This window comes from Homo sapiens, chromosome 19 (genome assembly GCF_000001405.40).
Source record: "Homo sapiens chromosome 19, GRCh38.p14 Primary Assembly".
Lineage (NCBI taxonomy): Eukaryota > Metazoa > Chordata > Mammalia > Primates > Hominidae > Homo > Homo sapiens.
In genome coordinates, this window is record NC_000019.10 from 51,473,907 (window position 1) to 51,501,899 (window position 27,993).

General features: G+C 48.7%; 2 protein-coding genes across 4 annotated transcripts, besides 3 other annotated features; one reads left to right on the top strand and one right to left on the bottom strand.

Moving 5' to 3' along the window:
• Positions 1 to 4,632: 4,632 nt before the first annotated feature.
• On the top strand, positions 4,633 to 17,395 carry CEACAM18 (CEA cell adhesion molecule 18). Of its 2 annotated transcripts, XM_054328435.1 has the most exons (7): positions 4,637 to 4,788; positions 6,427 to 6,774; positions 7,487 to 7,759; positions 9,111 to 9,390; positions 11,064 to 11,216; positions 16,681 to 16,742; positions 17,041 to 17,395. In XM_054328435.1, the coding sequence occupies exons 1-6, from the start codon at positions 4,737 to 4,739 to the stop codon at positions 16,697 to 16,699; spliced, it is 1,125 nt and encodes a 374-aa protein (XP_054184410.1). In that variant the 5' UTR covers positions 4,637 to 4,736; the 3' UTR covers positions 16,700 to 16,742; positions 17,041 to 17,395. The 2 variants fall into 2 exon arrangements, with proteins under 2 accessions (NP_001391990.1, XP_054184410.1); NM_001405061.1 differs by having other exon boundaries at positions 4,633 to 4,788; positions 11,081 to 11,216; positions 16,681 to 17,395.
• Positions 13,413 to 13,572: a silencer, noted in NCBI's record as "fragment chr19:51990573-51990732 (GRCh37/hg19 assembly coordinates)". NCBI's record gives its function as "represses an EF-1alpha promoter that drives an FKBP-Casp9 reporter gene in an ReSE screen in K562 erythroleukemia cells {active_cell/tissue: K562}" and the evidence as "EXISTENCE:reporter gene assay evidence [ECO:0000049][PMID:32094911]".
• Positions 14,816 to 14,996: a silencer, noted in NCBI's record as "fragment chr19:51991976-51992156 (GRCh37/hg19 assembly coordinates)". NCBI's record gives its function as "represses an EF-1alpha promoter that drives an FKBP-Casp9 reporter gene in an ReSE screen in K562 erythroleukemia cells {active_cell/tissue: K562}" and the evidence as "EXISTENCE:reporter gene assay evidence [ECO:0000049][PMID:32094911]".
• On the bottom strand, positions 17,321 to 27,894 carry SIGLEC12 (sialic acid binding Ig like lectin 12). Of its 2 annotated transcripts, NM_053003.4 has the most exons (8): positions 27,401 to 27,894; positions 26,014 to 26,394; positions 25,532 to 25,810; positions 25,264 to 25,311; positions 24,112 to 24,381; positions 23,443 to 23,539; positions 22,974 to 23,070; positions 17,321 to 17,923 (listed from the first exon to the last, which is right to left on the bottom strand). In NM_053003.4, the coding sequence occupies exons 1-8, from the start codon at positions 27,825 to 27,827 to the stop codon at positions 17,735 to 17,737; spliced, it is 1,788 nt and encodes a 595-aa protein (NP_443729.1). In that variant the 5' UTR covers positions 27,828 to 27,894; the 3' UTR covers positions 17,321 to 17,734. The 2 variants fall into 2 exon arrangements, with proteins under 2 accessions (NP_443729.1, NP_201586.1); NM_033329.2 differs by lacking the exon at positions 27,401 to 27,894 and having other exon boundaries at positions 26,014 to 26,487.
• Positions 25,657 to 26,156: an enhancer, noted in NCBI's record as "H3K4me1 hESC enhancer chr19:52002817-52003316 (GRCh37/hg19 assembly coordinates)". NCBI's record gives its function as "activates a minimal SCP1, AML or CMV promoter by ChIP-STARR-seq in naive H9 embryonic stem cells {active_cell/tissue: H9 hESC(naive)}" and the evidence as "EXISTENCE:reporter gene assay evidence [ECO:0000049][PMID:30033119]".
• Positions 27,895 to 27,993: the final 99 nt, after the last annotated feature.

The following is a 27,993-nucleotide window of genomic DNA, read 5'->3' on the forward strand; positions in this document are numbered from 1 at the left end:
ACATGTTTCTTCAGGGACATGGCACAATGCTGTGTCTAAAAGGAATGCTTCATGTTGGTGCAGCCAAATGGAGCTGATCGGACGCTCTCTGTGGCTGTGGTTGCTGGTCTCCTCTCAGTATCCACTCTCTCTTTTTCCTTAGTAATAAGGACCTCAGACATGAGAACCCAGCTAAGAAGGATTCTACGTTCTACACTTTCTTCTGTAGTTTTTTCTGAACAGCCCTATGAAGAGGAAACATTTTACATCCCTATTAAAAACAATTTCTTTTTCTTTTTAATTTTTGTGGGTACATAGTAGTTGTAGACCCTAAGATTCTTTTAAATTTATTTAAATTTTTTATTTCTTAACCTTTATTTTAGGTTCGGGGTACACGTGCAGATTTGTTATATAGGTAAACTTGTGTCATGGAAGTTTTTTGTACAGATTATTTCATTACCCAGGTACTATGCCTAGTACCCAATAGCTATTTTTTCTGCTCCTCTCCCTCCTCTTACTGTCCACCCTCAAGGAGGCCCCAGTGTCTGATGTTCCCCTCTATGTGTCCAAGTGTTCTCCTCTTTTAACTGCCACTTATAAGTGAGAACATGCGGCATTGGTTTTCTGTTTCTGTGTTAATTTTCTAAGGTAATGTCCCCATTTTACAGGTGTAGAAAGCAAAGCTTAGCGGAGATAGGAAACTTAACTGAGATCACGTGGCAGGTAAGTGGCAGCATTAGGTTCAAACCAGACAGTGTGACCAGGAATCCCCCCTCTTAACCATGGTCTTTCCTCAAACAGCCTGTACAGCCTTTGACCCAGCAGTCCTCAGTAATTTGGGGGCAGTGCACAAGACCATCCTCACTTCTAACTCCAGCTTCACACTCAGGGGTCCCCTGATCACCTTCAGTTTCGACAGTTCACAAGTAGGACTCACAGAACTCACTGAAAGCTCTTATTCTCATGTTATGTCTCATTACAGCAAAAGGATACAGATTAAAGTCAGCCAAGGGGAGAAGAGCATGGGGCAGGGTCCAGTGAATTCCAAATGTGTAGTTTCCAGTTGTCCCCTCCCAGTACAATCACAGACAGCAGTAATTCCTCCTTACATGACGTGTGACAACATGCATAGAGTGTCACCAACCAGGGACACTCACCTAAGCCTTGATGCCCAGGGTTTTTATTGTGGCTTTGCCATGTAGATATGGATGGCTGTTCACATGGCTGATCTTAGCTTCAGCTGCTCTAGAGATAGAGCTGACAACAGTGACCCAAAGTCCCTACCATTAGTCATATTATTAGACTATTTGGTGGTCATATTATTAGACGAATATAACTATTTAGTCATATTATTATGAATATTAGTCATATTATTGGGCAAGGCACTAAGGTAAATAAAGACATTCCTATCAGGTGAGATATTCCAGGGGCTTAGAGTTCCCTCCCAGTAGCTGAGAGCAAAGTCCAGACCTCTATTTAAGTAGGGTTGAGTTCTTTCCTGTGCAAGTTCACCTCTGGGATTAATCACGGATCTACAAATGGGACTAGGCAAAAGCTGTTCATGCTGCTGTGTACAAAAAAAAGTGGGCCAGGCATGGTGGCTCACGCCTGTAATCCCAGCACTTTGGGAGGCCAAGGTGGGTGGATCACGAGGTCAGAGATTGAGACCATTCTGAACAACATGGGGAAACCCCATCTCTACTAAAACACAAAGAATTAGCCAGGCGTGGTGGTGTGTGCCTGTAGTCCCAGCTACTTGGGAGGGTGAGACAGGGGAATCGCTTGAACCTGGGAGGTGGAGGTTGAGTGAGCCGAGATTGTGCCACTGCACTCCAGCCTGGCGACAGAGGAAGACTCTATCTCAAAAAAAAAAAAAAAAAAAAAAAGAACTCTAATATAAACTGTGGGCTTTGGGTGCTAATATTGCGTCAACGTGAGCTCATCAAATGCAATGAATGTACCACTGTGGTGGGGCTGTTGATAATGGGGGTGGCTGTGCATGCGGGAGGGCAGGTGATATATGAAAAACCTCTGTACCTTCCTCTGAATTTTGCTGTAAACCTAAAACTGCTCTAAAATATCGTGTTTTTTAATTGAAAGAACCCGGCCTGGCCCAGTGGCTCATGCCTGTAATCCCAACACTTGGGATGCCAAGGGGGATGGATCACTTGAACCCAGGAGTTGAAGACCAGCCTGGCCAACATGGCAAAATCCCGTCTCTACTAAAAATACAAAAAATATTAGCCCGATGTGATGGCACATGCCTGTAATCCCAGCTACTCTGGAGGCTGAGGCATGAGAATCACTTGAACTCAGGAGGCAGAGGTTGCAGTGAGCCTGGATCACACTACTGACCTCCAGCCTGGAGGACAGAGTGAGACTCTGTCTGGAAAAAAAAAAACAAAACTTAAAGGACATAAATGATTGCAAATAGAGGATTGGTTGAATAACTCAACCCATATCCAATCCAGTGGAATACTACACAGCCATGAATAATGAACAGTGATGGTGCAAAGCCATGCTTCTCCCATGAGAGTCCAGGACCTGAGGCAGAATGTGGGGAGTGCTTCAAGGGAGCTAAAGCCAGAAGATCCACTTTGTATATATTTCAGAGGCACCATTTACACGGTAATACTGGGGCAGGCCAATTAACTAACATCAGTGGTAACGAATGCGTTATTTTCCTATTAAAACTAACATGGAGGTGTCTGGCTGTAGGCTGCAAATATTCATATGGGTTTTCAGGGCACAGAAGACTTCAAAGATATTTTCTAAACCAGTAGACATCCAGAGGTGCATATTCACCTTACTCTGACAAAACTTGGGTTTAACATTTGAAAAGCCCTAATAAAAACAAAAATTTAATGATATAATTCTGCTCTAATAAAAGAGATTCATATGTGCATGCGTATGCCAGCTATAACATACCCAAACTGAAAAGACACATAGAAAACAGCTGGTTGTATCTCTGGGTGGTTTTAAAAAACGGTATTCTTTAAATGACAATAAATAATTTTATATTTATTTTACATACTTATATAGTTATACATATAAAATATATGTATAAATATGTAAATGTTAATAATATTACATAAATATGTAAGTATGTAAATCAAAAATTTTTATAATAAATTCAAATTCACTCCTTTTATAATTTAAAAAGTAGGGTGTGTTATCAAAATGAAAGACAAACACATTCCCAAGTACGGTTAGAAAGACCTTGTCAATTGGACATTTCTGAGTTGTTCTTTCCCTCTCTCTCTCTCTCTCTCTCTGTTTCTGTGTCTTCCCTCTGTATCTCACTCTGCCTGCATTTTTTTTTATGTCCCTGTCTGTCTGTCTCTCTGTCAGGTTTCAAGGGGCCCATACCTCATTACTTCTGTGCACAACTCCCCTGTCCTGGATCCCTGTTTTTAGAAACAGCCTGACCCTCCAACAACAAAGTGTCAACCTAAATAACAAACAGAGAGAAGCTCTCTAAAAGAAAATGATATGTATTCAGGAATGGGGCATTGCAATGGGAATCTGGGTGCTATAGTAAACTACGTGCATATTCAGGGAGGTAAAAGAACACAAAGGGTTTTCAATGGAAAAATGAGGAGGACCCCATAAATGGTTTGAGATAATTACCCTAGGCTACAAGGATCCCTAATGAGGGTGACGTCAGTCCAAGTTTGGACCGGAGGTTGCTGTCCAAATACTTGTCACAGAAGTATTTTTTTGGTGGAAGGAAGCAATGGCTTTTGTGCAAGACTATGGTTTCTGCAGCGTCTTCTGTGAAAATTTTTGTTGTCAGAGAGCCCTCGCTTCACAGCCTTCCCCACTGTATTTCTCAGGGATTTTTTTGGCTTGTGAGCACTTTCACAAAGGGATCTGGTTATACACACACTGGTTCAGGTCTAGAAGAGCATTCCCTGCAGCCATTCACAATGGTCATGGGAGGAATATTTAGTGACATAGAGAAATAGTCCACTGTTGAGGAGGAAAGCAGCCAGTTGTAAAACAGCCCCAGGCAGTCTAAAAGTTGGGCCCTACACCGGGCACGGTGGCTCACACCTGTAATCTCAGCACTTTGGGAGGCCGAGGTGGGCGGATAACGAGGTCAAGAGATCAAGACCATCCTGGCCAGCATGATGTAACCCCGTCTCTACTAAAAACACAAAAATTAGCTGGGTGTGGTGGCACGAGCCTGTAGTCCCAGCTACTCGGGAGGCTGAGGCAGGTGAATCACTTGGACCCGGAAGACGAGGTTGCGGTGAGCCAAGATCATGCCATTGCACTCCAGCCTGGTGACAGAGCGAGACTCCGTGAAAAAAAAAAAAAAAAAAAAAAAGCTGGGCCCTGCATAGGAAAACCAAACCAAATGGAAACAGGACATACAGTTGAGGAGTTTGATGTCCTATCTTTGAGGCACTTGGCTGTATTTTCTGGTTTTCTTTGTTTTCCCAACAGTGAGCCTGTGTTTTTCCGTTTTTTCATGACCAGAGAAAAAAATGTAAATTATTATAAAAATAAGTAAATAAATAATGAACTAAAGGCAACATAAAGCCATAAAGATAAGGTTGGGCTCTCAAGAGCCGTCTTCCCCAGGCCCCACCCCTGCTGGTCAGAGTGCACCCTGGGGAGGAAAGGCCGCCCTGAAGGCTGGGAGACGAGACCGGCAGCCTCTGTGCCAGGAGACACAGGTCTTGGAGGGAGCAGAGGAGGTGGCTGTGTCTCTGGAGGGACCCCTCCTCCTGGAGGACCCCAGGCAGCTCATGGACCTTTCCAGACCCAGATGGAGCCTGTGGAGGAGGGTCTTCCTCATGGGTAAGAGATGCTGGATGCTGGATGAGCTTCCCAGGACTGAGGGAAGGGCAGCTAGGAGCAAAGCGGCGGGGAGGGGGCTGGGACCATCCCCATCCACGGGCACATCAAGAAACTCCCAGAGCAGGGGTCGGGGAGAGGAGAAGGGGGAGGACCCTCAGCACAACTTTCATGAGCTCACACACGTGGGCACACTTTGCCCCTAGACACACCCCTGCACAGACCCACACATGTGGTGTTACACACACACGCACACGCACATGCACACACACACACGCGCGCACACACAGAGAGAGAGAGAGAGAAACTGTGTTTCTATCTACGCCCAGGAATCAGGAGCTTGGACCTTCACCCTCACCTCCCTGCACTCACCTCCCACTGGGTGCCCCAATCTGCCCCATCCCCTCCCCCACCTCTCAGGCCAGATTCCTTCCCAGCCCCTCACCTTTGCCCAGGACCTTCTGTGCCCCCTACAAGCACAACTGTCCTGCTTTACCACGTGTACTGTCCTTGAACAGGTCCAGTGTGTCCATACGTGAGGCCTAGAGCCGGGGTCTCAGGCATCTCTGCCTCCTCCACATAGCCCAGGCTTGGGGTTCACAGGGCAGTGGACAACTGCCCATGTCATATGTGGTAACAGGCTGCCGCCTCCATTCACACCCACTCCAGTGAATTTAGATGCAAAATCAAAGACATGTAGAAATTCTCGGGGGAGTATTTCTCACCCAGACAATCATTACTGAACTCCCCCTGTGTCCAGCCTGTGCTCAGGGGCGCTGGGGACTCAGTGGTGACTGAGACAGGGCAGTCCTGCCCTCCTGGAGCCCACAGTCCAGGGCGAGATATAGATATGTGCCCAGACTCTGAGGACCCCCAGAGGTCATGGCTGGGATGGGGGGAGCCCAGGAGGAGCTGGGGGAGCCCAGAGGGGACACCTGACCCAGGCTGGGGTGGAGGAGACATCCAAGCTGAGACCTGAGTGATGAATAGAAGTGAGTCAGCAAGGAGGGTGCAGATGGAGAGGAGGGAGAAGGAGTCCCTGCCGGGAATGGGGAACAGCGTGTGCGAAGCCTGGAGTTAGGAGAAGGTGTGGTGCACCAAGAGAGCTATGTAGAGGCCTGGGGCATACAGCGTGGCAGTCATGTCTTCTGATAAATAACTACAGGAATAAATGAGTAAAAGGTGCATAGTGGGGACAGGATGGGGTAGGTGTGCACCACAAGGAGGCTCGATGAGTCACAAACACCAGCTCTGGCTGAGAGTGTTTCATATACCCACCTAAGAGTTTGGACTGTATCCTAAGAGCACTGGGGAGCCATGGAAGGTGTTTGAGCAGAGGAGAACAGGGTCGCAACTTGGGCTTATTAACATTTACGTAACTGTGATGTGAGGATGGATTGGAGGCTGTGTGGCTAGCGAGGAGGGCCTGGGAGAAGATAAGGGTAAAATGGACCACGGCAGGGGCTGAGGGGAGGCACAGGAGGGGACAAGCTGGGGACTCTACCAGGAGCCAGAAACTCTTGCCTGGTTCACCAGCGTCTCTGGGAATCGTTCCCGGATGGTGTCTTTTTTCCTTGTCTTCTCAGCCAGTCTGAATCTCTTTGTGAATTTCTCTCTGTCTTTTTTCCTTGTCTTCTTCAGCCAGTCTGCTGGCCTGTGGGATCTGCCAGGCCTCTGGCCAAATCTTCATCACCCAAACCCTGGGGATCAAGGGATATCGGACTGTCGTGGCCCTGGATAAGGTCCCTGAGGATGTTCAGGAATACAGCTGGTACTGGGGTGCAAACGACAGCGCAGGAAACATGATTATCAGCCACAAACCGCCCAGTGCCCAGCAGCCTGGGCCCATGTACACTGGCAGGGAGAGAGTGAACAGAGAAGGCAGCCTGTTGATCAGGCCGACTGCATTAAATGACACGGGAAACTACACTGTTCGGGTGGTTGCAGGCAATGAGACCCAAAGAGCAACCGGCTGGCTGGAGGTTCTAGGTGGGTTAGCAGGTGCTGTGTTTCCCAACCCCCAAGGAGAGCTAGATGTGACACATTTGAGAGAAGGACATTATACAGAGCATGACACCGGGAGTGGAAATCACGGAGCCGCCCTGGAATCTTGTGTACCATGGACAGCTCCTGGGGGATCTGAGGGCTAGTGGGAGGAGAGGGCGGAGTTGGAAGACAAGCAGTCCTGTATTTGACAGTGGCTGCAAATACATACTGCAGGACCCTGGCCCATTTGTGTTCCTTCTGTGTTCTTCAGTTTCCTCATCTGTAGAGTGGGGAGGAACCCACCATTGTGGTTTGTCGTAGCGTTGGAGGGAGTATTCGTAAAGTGAATGGGACTCAAATAATGGAGTAGTATTGTGTAGCCAAATGCCACCTCTCACTCAGAACCTCTCGTGTCTCCTGGATGAGGGTCCTGGTTTGGAGGATCAGAAACAATGATTAGGCCACATGTTTATGCCAAGAGCTCACCATTATGGCAGCAGACAGCACGGCAGTGGCTCAGGCAAGGCCCACACCTCAGCAGCCTCATTGCCCTGTGCCTATTCCTCTGCCCTTCTCAGCTCCCTTGCCAGGATGCCAGATCTTATCTTACAGCTCTTGGCTTCTCTCCAACATGCCCAGAAGTCCCCTGGAGAGGAGCAGAGCTTGGGGAAGCAGACCCCACTTGTAATTTTTTTCTCTTTCCTGCTTCACCCAGAGTTGGGAAGCAATCTGGGCATCTCCGTCAATGCCAGCTCCCTGGTGGAGAACATGGATTCTGTGGCTGCTGACTGCCTCACAAATGTCACCAACATCACGTGGTATGTGAATGATGTGCCTACCTCTAGTAGTGACCGGATGACAATTTCCCCAGACGGCAAGACCCTCGTCATCCTCAGGGTCAGCCGCTATGACAGAACAATTCAGTGCATGATAGAGAGTTTCCCAGAGATCTTTCAGAGAAGTGAACGCATCTCTCTGACTGTGGCCTGTGAGTGGTCTGGGCTCCTGGGACTGAAGCCAGGGCTGGTCTCAGGGCTTTCTAGGGATAGGAATATGTTAGGACAGGCTGAGCTGGAGAGAGGGGGCATCCTGGGCCAGCCTGCAGCCAGCTCACTCTGGATTGGAATCAGCTCAGGCTCTTGAGCCCTGTGAACTTGGGAGCTGCCCCTGCTACTCAGAAACGTGGTACACTCGAGTTTGAAATGAAGACGCCAGTCCCCACTTCTCAGATTAGAAATGGTCAGTGTGCCTTTGTTGAGGTCTGCTTTTGTGTAAAGAGGGGACTACTGAATACCATTGTTTCTTAAATTGATGTTCAATTATTAAGTTTTCAAGCCCCTTGAGCCTTGAAATTCTGCTCATTAATTTCTTTCTTCTTTTCTACTAAATTTAGTATAGTCCCTGTCACTCTCTTTCACTGAAACTGAACAGGCTATGCTCCCTTAAACAGAGAGCTTTATTTAAAGACTCAATTATGCATTCCATACATTCTTTTTTTTTTATAGCCTTTTAGCTGCCTACCGGGGCAAGTTCACCACCCAGGAAGACCTCCACAAATTCTCAGACAGCTCTTGGAAATCGAATACGCTGAACTTATAAATACATTAACACTTAGATTTTTCCCCAGTATTCCAGGACTGCTCACAGAGTTTAATAAACTCTTCCACATCTTCCAACTGAAAACCATAATCACACATCTAAAATCACTTTCACGTCTCCTGGAACTACTCCAGCGGTCTGTCAGATTTCCTAAAGCGCAGGCTACGGCACCCATCCTGTGGAAGGTGGGGTTGAGGGGTGAACAATTTCTGACCTCCATACAGCTGTTTACAGGTCAGAGGCTTGGAACCAAGACCCAGGATCCAGAGGCTGCAGCTGCTCAGGGCAGTTGCTCCCAGGCCCTGAGACTGGCTCAATCCTTCTGTGTCAGTTGGAGTCATAAAGTCCTAATCCTCTCCTCCGAGCCTCATTGTTTTCCATCTATAAAATGGATCAATGGTGGAACCAGTCACATGGGTTGTTCTGGGAATTCAACAAATGTGGGGACAGGCACAGAGCTTAGAACAGTGCCTGGCACACAGTAGGCCCCATGTGTTGGCTTTTACTCCACTAATTTTATTACAATGTAAATGGCACCATGGGCCTGGCCTCTAGTAGTTCCTTAATCATAGAAGATGCTCTTATGGTTATTGTTGTTGACACAGCTGCCTTGCCTGGGGCAGGTCTAGGGGTTAGCCCGAGGTGCACAATGGGGAACCTCCTGGCTGGGGGAGGACTTCATGAGACGGGACGCCGAGGGGTCAGAAACATAGCCTGGGCCTCCTACCCTGTCTCTACAGATGGGCCCGACTATGTGCTGCTGAGGAGCAATCCTGATGATTTCAACGGCATTGTGACAGCTGAGATCGGCTCCCAAGTGGAAATGGAGTGTATCTGCTATTCCTTCCTGGATCTCAAGTACCACTGGATCCACAATGGCTCCCTCCTGAACTTCTCAGATGCAAAGATGAACCTCTCGAGTCTTGCCTGGGAGCAGATGGGCCGTTACCGATGCACTGTGGAGAACCCCGTGACACAGCTGATCATGTACATGGACGTCAGGATCCAGGCCCCCCATGAGTGCAGCAGCTCCCCTCCAGGCTCATGCTTTGCACATCTCCCTGCCTCCATGCCCTGCTAGGCAGTGCCCACCCTCAGGAGTGCCACCTCCACTGTGCCATGACATGCTCTCAACCTCTGGGTGAAATCTCCCAGTTCTCTGAGGTCTGGGTCCAAAGCTGCCTCCTCTGTGAATCCTCTGGAGTCCTCAGATCAGAGTCAGGGTGACTCCCAGGGGGATAAGAGTAGCAGACATTGGCTGAGCACTTACTATGTGCCCGCCTTTGTTCTAACCTGTGTGACTCTCACCATTTCTCTGGAGTAAGTGAATGCGATTGGCATCACCTCCATTTGACAGGTGAGAAACTGAGCCCCATGGAGTTTGAGTGCTTATTCAAGGCTCTATTGCTTTGTAACCCATGGAAGAGGTGGCATTCAAGCCCAGGCAGGCATAGCCTACACCCTCAACTGCTCCCTTCAGCTGCTTCAAGATGAGGAATTAGAAAGACGCAGGGACGGGATGGGTGGACGGGGAGTAGAGATTTGGCATGGCCATGGCGTCAGAAACTTGGCTTGGGAGTGAATTTGTAAATGGGGAAAGCATCTTCTTAGCAACCATGCGTCCAATCTTCTGCATCAAGGAGAGAGACTGATGTGCTCAGGGAGACTGCAGAGGAGTGCAGCAGGTAAATGCAGGGGCTCTACAGCCCAAGGTTCTTGGTCCAAATCCCCATTCTGCTGCTGCCTATCTCCATGAACCTGGGACAAGCAGCTCCATCGTTCCGAGACTCAGTTTCCTCAACTGTAATGAAAGGATAAGAATCCCTGCAGGGAAAGGGTGCTGTGAGAATAAAATGAAACTGTGCAAGAAAGTACAGAAGACATTACAGGATGTGGTCTCCAGACTTTACTTCAGCCACACTACCTCCTAAGCACCTACTATGCACCAGACACGATGTGTGCATGCAGCCCTCCAAGTCATCGATTCACATTTTTCTCTTCCCCTGGACTACAAGATTCAGGAGGGCAGAAGCTGGGGAAGCTTTTTTTTTTTTTTTAACAGAGTCTCGCTCTGTTGCCCAGGCTGGATGCAGTGGTGCAATCTCTGCTCACTGCAACCTGCACCTCCCGGACTCAAGTGATTCTCCTGCCTCAGCCTCTTGAGTAGCTGGGATTACAGGCACACGCCACTGTGCCCAGCTAATTTTTGTATTTTTACAAAATAGAGTAGAGATGGGGTTTCACCATGTTGCCCAGGCTGGTCTTGAACTCTTGACCTCAGGTGATCCACCTTGGGCGAGCTTTCTGTTTTCCATTTGTCCTCAGTGCTTGGCACAGTGTGTAGCACATAGTTGGTGCTCAGTGAACATTTATGCAATGAGTTAATGACCCTGTGTCACACACCCCCCTTCCAGTCACTGTCTCTCCCCTTATGAGGGTTTATTCTTCTCTATTCACTTATGGTTGCTTGCAGTGTGAGACATCTCTTTGCTTAATTGTCCACTGTCCACTTCCCAGCTAGAATGTCAGGCCCATGGGTACAGGGAGTTTGTTTTGTTGGCTGCTGAATCCCTCGTACCTGGAACAGTGCTTTGCTGATAATAGATGTTGACAAATCTTTGAAGAATGGATATGTGGGTGGGTGAAGAGATGAGTGAATGCATGAATGGGTCAATCGTGGTCCTGACCCCCAGGTGTCCTCTTCCTTCAGGGATCTTACCTGTTGTCCACAGAGATTTCTCCATCTCAGGATCCATGGTGATGTTCCTCATCATGCTGACAGTGCTGGGTGGCGTTTACATCTGTGGAGTCCTGATCCATGCTCTGATCAACCACTACTCAATCAGGTGCCCTCATTGCTCTGGGACAAGGGTGGGATGTTGGCTGGGGGCTGGGACTCAGGAGCCAGCCCTCCCTCCAGAGGGGAAGCAGAGCCAGAAGGGGAGGGATAAGCCAGGAACTAGGTTGTCAGGGATCATCTGGGGCAGACAGATCAGCCCCCAGGACCTGAAGCTGATGGGAGCAAGAGAGGGTTTAGAGTCGGCCATGGTTCTAAATAGCTGTGGGGTTTCTTCTAGCAACTTCCCTTCTCTTTGTGTTTATAAGGGATATTAAGGTTTACCTAGAGGGACAGGTAAAAAAATGAGAGGTCTGCATGTCAATTCCTGGTACATAGTCATCCTTTGCTACCAAGTGAAGTTGGGGAAACAGGTATCAGCGGTGAACTATGCAGGGAGAAGAGATTGGGCAGTGGGATGGTTAAGGTCTGGGTTCAAACCCCAGCTCTGCTACCTGTAGGCTAGGTTACCTTGGGTAGGTCACTTCTCCTCATAGCTCATCCTCAGCCCAGCTGAAGAATGAACGGAGCAACAACTGCCTGAAGGGTGATGTGGGGATTAGAGACACGTCTTGGAGGAAAAGGGGACTTGCAGCATTCTCAGCATAGAGTAGACCAGAGTTTCTCAACCTCAGCACTATCAGCATTGGGACCATAATTCTCTGATGGGGAAGAGGAGGTAGTAAGGCTGTCCTGTGCATTGTGGGACATTTAGCCGCATAACTGGCCTTTTTCCATTAGATGCTAGTGGTAACAACCACCACCACCCCAGTTCAGAAAACCAAAAATGTCTCTAGACACTATGAAGATCACATGGGAGGCAACTTTGCCCTGGTTGAGAGTCAGTGGAGTAGATGTTAGAAAGTGCAGTGATGCTTGGGAGGATGATGACGTTAATGATGGAGATAATGGTACCAATGGTGATGGTGGTGATTATAGTGGGAATGGCAATGATGATGTAGATTAATAGTGGAAATGGCATTATTGTGATGGTGATGATGGTGATGATAGTAATAGTGGTGGTGGTGATAGTGGTGATGATGATGATGACAAAGATGATGGTAGTGTTGCTAGTGATGGTGACATTGGTAGTGATGATGACAATGGTGATGATGATGGCCATAATGGTGACAATAGTATTATGGTGATGATGTTGGTGATGGTGGTGCTAATGATGACGGTAGCAAATGCAGTGCTGATGGTGATGATTATGATGAAGCACAATGCCTATATTTTTCTGTGAGCTCTGGGGTGACAGGCAGGCCTCTGAGCCTTAAAAACAATCCTAGACCAAGGGTGCAGCTGGGTCAGCAGGTTGCATCATTGTGCCCGGAGGAAGCTGTTTCTTAGGGGATTTTCCAAGGTCAGGGACCGCATCTCCTTCCTACTAAGACTGTAGTAGGAGCAGCCGATGGAACTACTTGAGCCCCCTGGTCTAGGAAGGAGAGCCCTCATCTCTAGGGGCCAGTCTCCTTCACCTGAGATCAACATGCCTAGTGACAGCTCAGTCCTCAAGGACTCTCACATATGCCTAGGTGTCCTGCAGAACAAAACTTTTGTTTATTGAGCTAATTTTCTTTTTTCTTTTTCTTTCTTTCTTTCTTTTCTTTCTTTTTTTTTTTTTATATGGAGTCTCTCTCTGTTGCCCAGGCTGGAGTGCAGTGGCGCGATCTCAGCTCACTGCAAGCTCCGCCTCCCAGGTTCATGCCATTCTCCTGCCTCAGCCTCCCAAGTAGCCAGGACTACAGGCGCCCGCCACCACACCTGGCTAATTTTTTTGTTTTTTTTTTTAGTAGAGACGGGGTTTCACCGTGTTAGCCAGGATGGTCTTGATCTCCTGACCTCGTGATCCGCCCGCCTCAGCATCCCAAAGTGCTGGGGTTACAGGCATAAGCCACCGCGCCTGGCCTTATTGAGCTAATTTTCATCTAAAATTTTAAACTAAATGAAAATGTAATTGAAATATAAACTGTGAGATCAAAATTATATTGAAAGTTCATCTAATTGAAAGATTAAACATTAAGTAAGATTTAGTACCTGTTTCATTTAATATTAAATTGAATTTAAACTGTGAAGAAATGGCCAGGCATGGTAGCTCATGCCTGTAATCCCAACATTTTGGGAGGCTGAGGCAAGCAGATTACTTGAGCCCAGGAGTTCAAGACCAGCCTGGGCAACGTGGTGAAACCTCATCTCTACAAAAAATACAAAAGTTAGCCTGGAGTGGTGGAGTGCTTCTGGAGTTCCAGCTACTCAGGAGGCTGAGGTGGGAGGATCTCTTGAGCCCGAGAGGCAGAGGCTCAGTGAGCCGAGATCGTGCCACTGCACTCCAGCCTGGGCAACAGACACCCTGTATAAAAAATAAATAAATAGGCCAGGCACAGTGGCTGAAGCCTGTAATCCCAGCATGTTGGAAGGCCAAGGCGGGCGGATCATCAGGTCGGGAGTTCGAGACCAGCCTGGCCAACATAGTGAAATCCCGTCTCTACTAAAAATACAAAAAATTAGCCAAGTGTGATGGCAGTCACCTGTAATCCCAGTTACTTGGGAGGCTGAGGCAGGAGAATCACTTGAACCTGGGAGATTCAAGTGCAGTTCAAGTGCAGGTTGCAGTGAGTCGAGATCACACCATGGCACTCCAGCCTGGGCGACAGTGCGAGACTCCATCTCAAAAATAAATAAGTAAATAATCTGTGAAGAAAAGGCCTGTAACATGAATTAACCAATATGGTAGCCACTAGTCATACGTGACTAAGTTTAAAATGAATTAAAATTAAATAAGTAAAAAATCCAGCTCCTCAGTCACACCAGCTCATGGCTATGAGATTGGACGGTGCCAATATAGACCATTTCGTCATTGCCAAAAGTTCTACCGGACAGCACTGCTGTAAACCAATTATGTAGAATGTTCTTAAAGAGTAAAAACAAAACCAAACAAAACCAGAAAAAGTAGAAAGAGACAACCACTAGTCCCTCCTCTGTCCCTCACCCCAACCCCAGGAACTATGCTGCATGGGAAGAGAAGAGAGCTCGAGGTGGAAACAGAATTCTCATATTCAGGGAAGAGCAGAGAAAAGGGGATTGCAAAAGCAGATGGAGAGAGTGGCCATGACATAGTGGGGAGGGGCTCAGGTCAAGGGCAGAAACAGAATGATATGATGGTATTAATAACAATCTCTGAGATTTTATGATGTGCTTACTGTGTACCAACCCTTGTTCCAAGGTATTTACTAGTAAGAGCTTACTTTATCCCCATAGGAGATATCCCTGTGAGGTTGGGACCAGTATTAGTTCCATTTTACACATAGCAAGTAAAGCACAGACAGGCTGACTCCCTGCTATCTCACTGTATGGTCAATGTTGTAGGCTCCTTTGCTAAGGGACCATGTAATAATCATAAATAGGTTCAATATCTAAATACAAGACCTCGCCTGGGAGGTCAGCGAGGTCTTGGAAATGCAGGGTTGTTGGCTAGTCTTCAAGAGAGGTCTCAAGACAAAAGGTCTCAGAGAATTCAGCTGAGAAGGGGTGGGCCCCTGCCTTAGGGTGGGCTCCTCCCTGGGGGCAGGCCCCTCCTGGACCTGGAACCACATTCTTCACAAGGGCTGCAGAAGGTGCCAGAGTTTGGAGTGGGGCAGGGAACTCATGTGGACAGGGCTCCAGAATCCCTCCTCATTCCCCTAAGAGCAGGGCCATTTCTGTTTTACGGAATGGATTCCATCCAGGGGTGCATTTTTGCTTTTGTGGGCCCTCCTCTAGAAAAATATTAAAAATTATATTTTACGACTATCTTGATATAAACATGTATAAAATATAGGGTGGGTTGTATTCAGTTTTTTTCCTTCTGATTTTAGAAGAAATTGAAACATTTTTGTGATCCCTAAAAGTATAATGGGCCTTAGTGCTTCTGTCCATAATGATCCTGCTTCCACTCGAATTTCTTCAGACGAAAAGTTTCCAGGGGTTTCTATCCTTGTGTTCAAAGTCATTGATGGAGACTGAATGAGGGACAAATGAATGAGTCACTGAGGTTGACTTAATGTCAACCTCATCATCCAAAGTGAAATTTTGGATGATTAGGTTGACATTAAGTCAACCTCAGTGACTCATTCATTTGTCTCTCATTCAGTTTCTCGGTCCCCCCACATTTCACCAAGCTCCTGGCTTTATTCTTGGGCCTCTGATGAACAAAAGATGAACAAACTGCTTTCCCTGCCCCCAGTAATATCACAGCTACCACGATCCAGCCCCCTCTTTCAGCTCCCCTTCTCCCTCCCCAAAAGATCACCCTGGAGTTACTCATATTTTAATCATGATTGGATCTGGATACCACCCAAAAGGCACAGGAGTGGCATTTCCTAGAATAAATGGTGGGGCAAGAGGGAGCTGAGGAGACACACAGCATACGTGTATGCGTTTTCACTATGTTATCTAAAGATTTTAGAAGATACATCTTCAATTATCTTAATATTTAGATATTGAGCCTATTTATGATTATTATATGGTCCCTTCACCAAGGAGCCTACAATGTCGACCATACAGTGAGATAGCAGGCAATCGGCCTGACTGTGCTTTACTTGCCATGTGTAAAATGGAACTAACACTGGTCCAAACCTCACAGGGATATCTCCTATGGGGATAAAGTAAGCTCTTAGTAGTAATTACCTTGGAAGAAGGGTTGGTACACAGTAAGCACTTCATAAAATCTCAGATATTATTATTAATGCCATCATATTATTCAATGTGCAATTCTAAACTGATTGTGATAAACTCAAGAAAGTTCAAGGGTATTTCAAAGAGTGTATCTGAATCACCTCATCTTCCACCACCTGGAAGAACCCCCCTGGCCTGGCAGAACCACCTCCACGCCACTGTCCCATTCCTTTCAAAGGCGCCATGTTCTCTATGGTCTGGGGCCTCCCCTCCGATATGAGAGCAGGGATCTGGAATCAGAGAAGCCAGTTTGGGAATATTGGCCTCTGTTATGTTCTGGCTGTGTGACCTGGGGCAAGTAACATCACCTCTCTGGACCCTCATTTCTTCATCTGCAAATGGGTTAAAGTATCTGTCTTGCTTGGCTGTTGGGAGGGTTAAAGATAACCCTGTCATAAGTTATAGTGCCTGGCATATAATTGGTATGAAGTAAATTACTGTTATTACCTCCATCATTGTTGTGATCCCTCATAATTAGGCCAACAGTGCCCACTCCTTCCTCAGCTTCACCCGGCCTCTTTCTCCCCACACAGTGGCATCTTCCTCCAGTGCCCTCGGAAATCTTTAAAAGTATGGAGATGTTGAGGACTCTCGGTGCAGAGGTGCAGCCCTCAGACCATCTCCTCCATTGGGTCCCATGTGAGGAAGACTTAGGCTTGGACTTGGTGGGAAGTCGGGCCCCTTCACCTCTCTCTATCCAGGACTCTCCCATGTTTCTTAGGGACCTGAGATGTGGCTTCTTCCCTGATTTCTCCCCATAGGACAAATCGGGCTCCATGAGTGTCCACCCCAGACCTGAGGACAAGACCAGAAGGGCAAGCAGGTGAGGAGAGGGTGATGGAGAAGGGCTGGGGGTCCCCATAGGGCCAGCGAGGCTGAAAAGGGTCCAGGGTCTCTTTGGAGGGTACTGGCAAGAGAGGGACCCAGCCCAGTCACACGGAAGCCTGGAGATGGAGGCTCCAGTAGGAGGTCTGCAGACCCCACCCGGGACCTGAAGATGATGTCGTGGGTAGCGTGGCCATTGGGCGCTTCATCTGCCAATCAGAGCTGGTCAATGGGTTGCAGGTCGGGGCGGGCCATGCGCAAAGCTGGGCTCTAATTCCAAGCGCCTCCTCCCTCAGCTCCGGCGCTTCCAGCTTCTCAGATTTCTTCACCCATGGAATCAACAGCGATGCTGTAAACTTATGGCCAAGGGGTGCCAATCAGTGGTTGTTCCACTCAGTGCCGAATGAGAGAAGAGACCTTAGAATCAGGCAGGGATTAAATTTCAGTCCTGCCCTGAGTACCGGAGCGACCTGAACGCAGCCCCAGTGAGGCTCCCTCACCTGGATGCACCGTGGAACCATCGTCAGCATGATTAGCACATCCGTCAGCTCAAATATTTAATTTTTTTTTTTTTTTGGTGACAACATTTAAACTCCTCTCTTTTAGCCATTTTGAAATATTCAATACATTATTCTGTTATTTGGAACAACACGGATGAACCTAGAGAACATTATGTTGAGTGAAATAAGCCAGGTACAGAGAGACAAACACTCTACGATCTCACTATATTTGGAACCTAAAATAGTCGACCTCAGAGAAGTAGAGAAGAGAATGGTGGGTACCAGAGGCCGGGGGCGGGGAGTGTGGACCGATTGGATGGAGAAAGGGAGAGTTTGGTCATCAGGCACGCATTTTCAGTTTGACAAGAGGAATAAGTTCTGATGTCCTGTTGCACAGCATGGAGGGCTGTTAATTCTAAAGGAATCAGTCTCGGGCTTCTTTGCTGCAGGGGTCGTGAGCCCTCAAACAGGCCTGAGTCTCTGCAGTTTCTCACTTGGGGATGTTGATCTCGGAGTACTCATAGCCGATGGCCTCCTGTTCCTGTGGGTACTGAGGCCTCGCTTTGTGGAAGCTGAGGGATGCATACTGGATCTCTCCTTCCTCTGGGGAGGGGGTGGCCAGGGCTGGCGGAGCATGGTGTGGGGGGCTGTCATCTGCCGGGGATTCAATCAGGGGTCCCTGAATGGAGGAAGAGAAGGGAGTCAGTGCAGAGCAGTGGGGCCAGCATGCACCAGAGAGCATCCAGGAAGGAGGCCCAGGAGTTCCTTCCTCCATTCATCCCATGTGCACTTTGCTGAAATCTCTTTAATACGTTCCTCTAATGTCTAATACTCAATTATCACCTTATGTGGTGTTTACTAATCTCATTAACTTCCAACAACAATTCCATAGTAAGATATTATTATTGTCTCCATTTTATAAATTTGAAAACTGAGGTAGAAATGGTTAAGTACCCTGCGCAAACTCCCTCTTATACCGGGACCCAATCCAGTCAGTTCCTTCTGACCCCAAAGCCTGGAGTCCTGCTGAGGCCTCCTGTGTGTGAGTTCCTGGGCTGGGTGCTGGATGGACTGTGGTGGACACGGTAGGCATGGGCTCTGACCCCCTGCATCTCACTCTTTAACTGAAGGAGGTGGCAATAAATGACTGCCAAACAAATGAATATCTATGTGTGAATTATGATAAGATGGGTAGGAAGAGGGCAAGTGAGAGAGAATTACAGGGCCTTGATTCAGACGTGGCACCTGCCCTTGAGAAGCTCACAGTTTGGTGGTGTGGGGAAGACAAGTCAATAAAATAAATTATATCCCTCTTATAGGAAGAATAATGACCCCTCCAAAATGTCCATGCCCTAATCCCCTGGAACCTGTTGATCTGTTACCTTACATGGCTAAAGGGGCTTTACAGATGGAATTAGGTTAAGGATATCGAGATGGGGAAATTATCCTGGATTACTTGGGTGGGCCCAGTGGAATCACAGGGGTCCTTACAAGTAGTGAAAGGAGGAGGGCATAGATAGATTGGAAGATGCCAGGCTGCTTGACTTGCAGACAGAGGGAGGGTCCTGAGCCAAGGAATGCAGGTGCCTCTAGAAGCTGGAAAAGGTGAGAAAGCGCATCCTCCCCTGGATCTTCCAGAAGGAACTGGCCCTGCCTGCCAATGCCTTGATTTTAGCCCAGTGACACCCATTTTGGGCTTGTGACCTTCAGAACTTTAAGTTAATCCATGTTTGTTGTTTGAAGCCAGGAAATGTGTGGCAATTTGTCACAGCAGCCACAGGAAACTAATATAGACTCACACGGTGGAGAGTGACAGAGGCTGCCTGGGAGGCTTCTCCTTCATCTCTGAACTTCCCTGCTACTCCCCTGCACAGCAGATGCTCCATGGAACTGTTTGTGATTTCACTCCCCCATTCTGTCTTGATTACTCAAATTAACATTCACACACACACCACATCTCAGCACTGCTGTTATCAAGGTCACCATGACCACTGCTTGGCTGAGTCCAAATGTCCGTCTTGCAGTCTTCTCCTTCTTGGACTTCACAGCAGCAGAGGACCCAGCTGCTCACCTTCCCTACACAGAAGCCCTTCTTGACTTAACTACAGGACATCGTGCTTTCTGGCTCCATCTTACCTTCTTGGCAGCCCTTTTGCTAGATGCTCCACATCTCCCTGACCCTAAATATCAGAGCAGCCCTGAGCTCTTCTTTACTTTTGCTTTGCAATCTCATCCACTGTGTTGTCTTCATGCCATCAATAAACTGACGACTTCCAAATTTACACCCAGCCCTCTCCCCTCTGCTGACTATAGTCCTTGATCCAATAGTATACTTCAAACCCACACATCTTGTCGAAAGGCACACAAAATGCAACCTATTCTATCTGAACTCCTCCTTTTTTCCCCCAGATCTCTTTTTTTGCACAATCTTTTCTGCCTCAATGACTGACCCCTCCATTCTACCCATGGATTGGGGCAAAAATCTGGAAGTCTTCTTGCTCCCTCTCTGTCATTCACATTGTACACCCAATCTATTGGCAATTCTCATAAGTCTAACTTCAGAATTTACCCATAAGACAGCCATGTCCACCACCACTGCCATCTTGGTTCCAGCCAGCACCACTTCCTGCCTGAGATGTTCACCAGCCTCCTCTCTATCTTCTCTGCTCTGTCTTTCCTCTACCACACACAGTCTCTTCTGCACACAACAGCCAGAGGGATCCCATGAAAATAAAAGTTAATCATGGTCTCTTGCACAAAACTCTCCAAATGCTCACAGTGCCCTGTGCAGCCAGACACGATTCACACACAGGCTCAACTTCTCCAAAGTCATTTCCTGTTCTTGGCCTTGCTTCCCTCTGTCTAATCACACAGACGTCCTTGTGGATCCTCTCACTGGTCCCTCCTGTGCCTGAGCCTCACCCTGTTCTTCCCTCTGTCTGGAGTGCTCTTCAATCTCACAGTCAGTGTCAGATCTGAGCCTCCTTCATTCCTGTGCTCAAACATCACTAACAGAAACACAAGTCATCCTACAGAATGGTAGAAAATATTTTCAAGCCATACATCTGAAAAAAGTTTTAATATCCAGAATATATTAAAAAAATTCTTAGAACTCAACAGCAGAGAAACAACACAGTTTCAAAAATAGGCTTAAACTCTGATAGACTTTCTCTAAAGGTGATATACAAATCAAAAGAAGCATATGAAAACATCACTAATTATTAGAAAATGCAAATCAAAGCCTTAATGAGATATCACCTCACACGCGTTAGGATGGCCACTGTCAAAAACAAACGAAAACCAAAAAGTAACAAGCGTTGGTGAGGATGTGGAGAAATGGGAACCCTTGTGTGACATTTGTGGGAATGTAAAATAGTGTAGCCACTGTGGAAAACAGTATGGCAGTTCCTTAAGATATTAAAAAACAGAATAATCTTAGAGTCCAGAAACCCTACTTGTGGATATACACCCAAAAGAATTAAAAGCAGGATATTGAAAAGATATTTGCATGCCCATGCTCACGGCAGCATTATTCACAATAACCAAGAGGTGGAAGCAACCCAAGTGTACATCAACAGATAAATGGATAAAGAAAATGCGGTAAACATACACACAATGCAATATTAATTACCCTTTAAAAAGAAGGAAATCTTGTCACACCTTACAATGTGGGTGAACCTTGAGGATATTTGTTAAGTAAATCGTCCAGTCACAAGATGAGCAATACTGTATGATTTCACTTATATGAGGTATCTAGAATAGTCAAATTCATAGGAAAATAAAGTAAAATTGGTGATTTCCAGTGGCTGCAGGAGGATGAAGAGGATGGGAGGGAAAGGGCGGAGTTATTGTTCAACGAATGTGGAGTTTCAGTTTTGCAAGATAAAAGGGTTCTAGAGATCTAGCACAACCATAAACTTAATAAAGTTGAGGTGGTAAATTTTATGTTATGTGTTATTTTCCACCGTAGATGGCTGGATGGATGGATGGGTGGATGGATGGATGGACGGGTGGGTGGGTGGATGGATGGATGGATGGATGGATGGATGGACGGACGGGTGGGTGGGTGGATGGATGGATGGATGGATGGATGGATGGACGGGTGGGTGGGTGGATGGATGGATGGATGGATGGATGGATGGATGGACGGACGGACGGGTGGGTGGATGGATGGATGGATGGATGGATGGATGGATGGATGGACAGACGGGTGGGTGGATGGATGGATGGATGGATGGATGGATGGATGGGTGGGTGGGTGGGTGGATGGATGGATGGATGGATGGATGGATGGACTGACGGGTGGGTGGGTGGTTGGATGGATGGACGGACGGACAGACGGACAGATGGATGGATGGATGAATGGTTGGATGAATAAACAAAAATAAACCCACAAGCCTTCTCCTTGGAACTTCCTATTTCTTCTACATTGCATTTTCCCTAAAGCATATATCTATCTTTATATTTTATTCATTTGTTGTTTTATTAGTTTTGATTAGTTGATTGGTTTGGCCATATCCCTCTGTATAGAATTAAACTTCGATGAGCCCAAGACTTTTAAATGTTTTCCACAGATGGGTCGCTGGCATCTTCTCTTAGGAGATGCTCTATAACTTTTCCTGAATGAATTAATGAATGAAGGGATGGATGTTACTCTGCTACTCGAAACCTTCCACAGGCTTCCAGTCACATTCAATACAATCAATAAATGATGAGTGTAATATTTATATCAGGGCATGAAGGATGAATAGGAATCAGGGAGTGGGGAGAAAAAAGCATCTGAGGAGGAGGAACAGCCAATGTGAAGACGTAGAGACACAAATAACCTTGTTGGTGATGACACTGGAGTCCAGCGTTGATGGAGCATGGAGCAGAGGCAGGAGTGGCTGGAGGCGGGGCTGGGATTGGAGCAAAGCCAGGGAAGCCCTTACCCAGAGCACAAAATTAAAAGGGTGCCCCAAATCTCAGCAATGAAGATGAATACAATTTTAACACAATATTTAAAAAATCAAAATTAATATAAAAAGTCCATGGAAAGCCTGGGCGCGGTGGCTCACGCCTATAATCCCAGCACTTTGGGAAGCTGAGGCAGGCGATCACCTGAGGTTGGGAGTTTGAGACCAGCCTGACCAACATGGAGAAACTCCGTCTCTACTAAAAATACAAAATTAGCCGGGCATGGTGGCTCGTGTATGTAATCCCAGCTACTCGAGAGACTGAGGCAGAATTACTTGAACCCGGGAGGTGGAGGTTGTGGTGAGCTGAGATCGCACCATCGCACTTCAGCCTGGGCAACAAGATCAAAACTCTGTCTCAAAATAAATAAATAAATAAAAATAAAAACAAAAAATTCCTGGAGAACAAAGATTTAAATAAACCCAGATTAGTGACAGTGCTCTGCTGAGCCAAATGGAACTTGAAGCAAAAGCTATTCAACGTGCAGAGGAAGCAGACAGTGATGGCTGTGGAACGTCCCTCCAGGCCGGGAAGGGGAGGCAAGAGGCAGGGAGGTGAGGAGGTCCCAGACAGAGATCCAGAGGCTTCAGCAGTGAGAGGGGTCAGGATGGGATGGGGAGGGCAATGAAAGCTGTTCTTAGGAGGAAAAAGTGGACAGGACGTGATTTTTCGGCTGTAGGGGAAGAAAGGAAGGACAGTGAGGAAGTAATCCCCTTCCATGCCTGGCCTGGGAGAAAGCAGGGGAGAAGGGCTGTGATTCAATGCTCACTCACCTGAGAGGCTGAGCCCCTGACAGCGTTTGCGTCCTCCATGCCTGTATCCCCCACGCCCACTGCTGGCCTTGCCGATTTCTTCCTGCAGGACCTCACTCTGAGTGAAGAGACCAGAGAGCCTTTCAGTGTGGTCAGATCGGGGTGCAGTGGGCAGACCAACCCCTGCCCTGTATTTCCTATTGGGGAGCTGGAGGGGTAACTGAGGCGGGAGGGGAGTGGTCCCATTCCAGAGACCCCAATGTCGAAAACAGAGGCTCTTTTTTCCTGGGCAGTAGGGTCTGAGGTTTGCCACAGACATGGAGCTCCACAAACAGGGGCGCTCATGAAATTCTTACCATGCACCCATGACCTCATTCTGGCCCTTGCTTCAAGCTCTTGACCCATCCAGGTCCTTCCAGGTCTGGCTTCAGGGATTTTGTTCCCAGCCTGCCCTCCCCCAAGGCTCTTCCTCCCCAGGGTCAATGCTCACACAACGAAGATGATGCAGAAGTACAGGAAGACCAGGGCTGTGGCTCCAGCTCCCCCGAATGCCCCTAGCGTCACTCCTGATATAGGCCTCATTTTGCCTGAGGATGGATTGGAGTTGTTTTGGGGTTTACCCTCCAAGAACTGGGCCTCTTCTCCTCCCACTGCCTGTAGGGCCCCAGACTTGGGTACCCCAGTCCCGCTTCCCGGACAGAAAGAACAAGGACGGAAGGGAACTTCTCCTGAGGTCACTGAGGCATGAGAGTGCTGGGTGCAGTCTGCCTTTATTTAAAATTTTGATTAGTTTTCACCATGGAATTATTTTACAATAATTTTTAATTTTCGAAAAGATAATCACATGGCAAGATTATTTCTCTTGCTTGCTGAGTTGTTTTATTTTTGGTTCTTAAATTGTGTGCCCAAAGTGAGTGCCTCACTTGCCTCACACTAGTCCAGGCACTGGAAAGCAAGGCCCTTGTATCCCCAAACACACTTGTCCAGGCCCCAGCTCCTCCCCTCCAAGATTAACTCCTCCCCTCTCCCCACCCCGCACTCACTGCTTGGCAGCAAGAGGACTGTGATGCTGTGGGTTGCAGGGAAATTCCAGGTCTCCCAGCTGGACCCTGAGGGTGGGACATGTGTGTTCTCCTCCTCCAGACCCTCCCCTACCCACCTGTGTACTCGTTTTGCAGGGAGAGGCTCAGGGAAATGTGCTGGGAGCCTAGAGGGTTCTGAGCTCGGCAGGTGAATTCCCCTTCATCCTTCACATGCACTCGAGGCAGCTCCAGCACCCCAAGGTTCGAGGACTGTGAGGGGCTCAGGGTCAGGCTCCCCCAGGTCCAGCTCAGCCTGGCAGGGGGATTGCTGTCGACAGCACAGACAAGGTGCAGGGACTGGCCCTCCAGGACTGAAAGGGCCGAGCCATTCCTCAAGGTTGTGGATGCTGTAGAGAAAGAGACAGAAGGGCAGAGAGAGACAAAGTGATCGAGGCAGGGAGGAAGGATACAGAAAGAGAGTGGTGAATGGAACAGACACTGATACATGCTGAATTGTAGGGACATATGCACGTTCACTGCTCACTGTTGGGGATGTAAACTTGTCCATCTTTAATTAGAACAATTTCACTCTATCTTTCAAAATCAGAAAGACATATGACACTGCTATATTTTGCTTTTAGGACTTTATTCCATACACTTAGATATTCCTTGTGGGAGTAGATACAACAATATTCATTGCAGTGTTTGTGCTGTAGGATAAAATTAGTGCCATGATCTTCCATTAGAAGATGCCACAAAATCAGAGACTATTCAGACAGTGGAATGACACACAGCCCTAGAGGAGGGTGCAAACAGTCTCACTACTGACATCAAACCACCTCTGAGATCTTCCAGGTGCACAAACCAAGGCTCAGGACAGCCTGGACAGACCCTGGTCGATTCTGGGGACAGACTCTGCTGTGCATTATAAATTTTTGCCCATGTGACTATAGTATGTATCCAAAAGAATATACCTCAGAACTATTGGTGAAAATAAAAGGATGAGGCAATATTCAGGAGCTGGAAGATAAGAGTCCTCAAATCCTTGAGCTGCTGTGTGAATGTCCCTCTACCCTTGCTGTGGGGCCAAAATAGGTGTGTGTGTGGAGGAGTTCAAGGGGAGTGAAGGGGTGATGAGAAGGTGCTCAGGTGGCCAAAAGGCTGAGGCTGAGGGAGGGGGGGGCCGGGGCTCACCCACAAAAGGGTCTCAGGTCACCAGGGTGAGTCCTGGCTCTCCCCTGAGTTGAAGGCTCTGCTCCTCCAGCCCCAGGGAGAGGACTCCATCTTACCTGTGCCATCTCCTTGGAAGACAGTCATGGTCAAGTTCTGAGGAGGATCTGGAACAGAAAGACACGGAGTTCCCATCACTTTGAGGACTGGGGACACTGACCCTGTCTCCCCAGGAGCCCCATAAATGGGGAAGGTGGAGCCAGCATCCTCCTGACCCCCAACTCCCAGCCAAGATTCCAGGACCCAGATCCTTGAGTCTGGGTCCCACATCCAACTGGCCTCAAGGAATCCCGATCAAAGACCCAGACGTCCTGGCCCAGAACTCACAGGATATGTTGAGTCGGACAGCCCTGGTCATGGTCACGCCGGCCCCAGGCAAGGTCACCTGACAGGTGAGGCTGGTGCCATGGTCCTGGGGCTGTGGGATGAGGCTGAGCATCGAGGAGCGAGTGATAGTGGGGTCCAGGGAGGACACGGAGGCCCCCATCCAGGTGATCGTGGGGGGCGTCCCCTGTTCACAGGCCCAGGGCACAGAGCAGGTCAGGTTCCTGGGGTGGCCAGACTCCAGGGTCCCCGGGATGGAGAAGGTGGGCATGTGAGTCAGGGCTGGTGATGAAAGGGAGACAGGCAAAATGAGGGTGTTGGGGTCTGAAGTGTGGTGCTGAGGAGGCTCAGGCTCTGGTCTTACTCCTCCCCTGAGCCAGATATGCTTCACCTCCAACTCCCTCCCAGGATGGGGGTCCCACCTCAGCCCTACCCTGCGGCCCTCGGGCCTTCCCCTCTGGCTGGTCCTAGAGCCAGAGATTTACCTGTCACATGCACAGAGAGCTTGTCATATATGTAGTTCCATTTCCTGCTTCCTCTCTCCACCTGGAAGTAGTACTTCCCTGAATCCCCCTTCCTGGCATCTCTGATGCTCAGGGAGCAGTTGTTGGTCTGTGGGTCCCCAAGGAGGAGGAATCGACCGTGGGTATCCTCTTGCACTTTTCCACTTGGGGTGTTTGTGGCCACTGGAATATCCCATGGTATATCGGCCCCTTCCTTGAACCAGGATCCATAAACAGGGCTAGAGGCAGTCCAGTTGTAATGGGGGTAAAGGACACTGCAGGGCACAGAGACACACAGACCCTCCTGCACAGTCACCGACTCTGGCACCTCCAGCCTGTATCTTGACAGTAGGTCCTGGGACGCTGTGGAGAAACGAGGGTCAGCCCAGCCCCCACTGTCCCTCTCTTCATTTGCCCATAGCAGGGGCAGCAGCATCTCTGAGGCAGAGGCTTCCTGGGCTCCCTGTGTGAGCAGAGAAGGGGGAGGGAGAGGAGGGGCAGGGCTGTGGGACCCACAGGGGGCTGGAGAGGAGCTGGAGACCTCAGCCCTGCATGGAAGAGAAACTGCAAACCCACATGCTATAGGAACTCATTCCCTCTGCACAGAGTGAAGGAAACCCTAAAGCTCAGAGACCCTAGAGACCCACCCAGGGAGGAGAAGAGACCGTGTCCCGCCTCCTACCTCCGGGCTTCCCTGAAGCACCAGGGCCTGCACCAGACACGTAGGTCCTGCCCTCCCGGCCTCTGGACCATCGTGGAGGTCCCTCCTGTCTTTTGAGCATCTAAATGTGGATCTCCGAGGACCTCGGGGCATGAGAGATGGAGGGGCCGTGTGCTGAGTCTCCCTGTCCAGGCTCAGGTGCCTCTGCTGCCCTTGGTTTGCGCCAGGAAGTGCTTCCTCCCTGGCCTGGCCTGAGAGAGTCACGGGGTTGTGTAGACCTAAGGCTCTCAACTGGGGAGGACTTAACCCCCCAGGACGTTTGACAATGTGTGGAGATAATTGTCTCGCTGCATGGGTGGGGTGGGTGCTTCTGGCATCTGGTGGGGAGAGGCCTGGGATGGTGCTAAACCCCGGCCATGCCTAGGACAGGCCCCAAAACAAGGAGTCATAAGGCCCCACATGCCACAGTGCCAGCGTCAGAGGCAGGATGAGGATGTCAGGCCTGTGGGTCAGGGCTGGTGAGGGGAGGGGCTTGCAGGATCAGGAGGGGCATCCAAGGTGCGGTCCTGGGGAAGCTCAGGCTCTGGTCCAGCTCCTCCCCTGAGTCCATCACCCCCGGCCCCCTCCCAGGACATGTGTCCCGTCTCAGCCGTGCCCTAAAGCCCTCATCACATTTGCCTTTGGCCTCTCTTGGAGCCCGTGCCTTACCTGTCACATTCACAGAGAGCTGGTCATATTTATAATTCCATTTCATATTTCCTCTCTCTACACAAAAGACGTATGTCCCTGCATCACTCTCTCTGGTGTCTCTGATGCTCAGGGTACAATCCTTGTTCTGTGGGTCCCCAAGGAGGTGGAATCGGTCCCGAGTCTCCTCCTGCACTGCTCGAGCTGGGTTGTTTGTGGCCACTGGAATGTTCCGGCTTACATGGTCCCCTGCCCGGAACCAGTAGCCATGAACTGGATCGGAGGCAGTCCAGCCATTTTGGGGGTAGGAGAAGGAGCAAAGCACAGAGACACACAGGCCCTCCTGCACCGTCACGGACTTCTGCATTGTCAGCAGGTAATCCTTCTGTTCCTTAGCCCCCACTCTCCCACAGAGCAGGGGTGGCAGCAGTAGCAGCAGCAGTAGCATGTGTCGGGTTGGAGGTGCCAGGGTTGCTGAGGTAAGTCTGTTCCTCAGGGTTCTTCTCTCAGGAACTGAGAACTCAAGATTTCGAGGAAGCCGCACAGGAAGTTGGGGGTGGGTTCTGAACGGTGACCTCACAGGAGGAACTTCACACACAGACACTGTCAGGGCC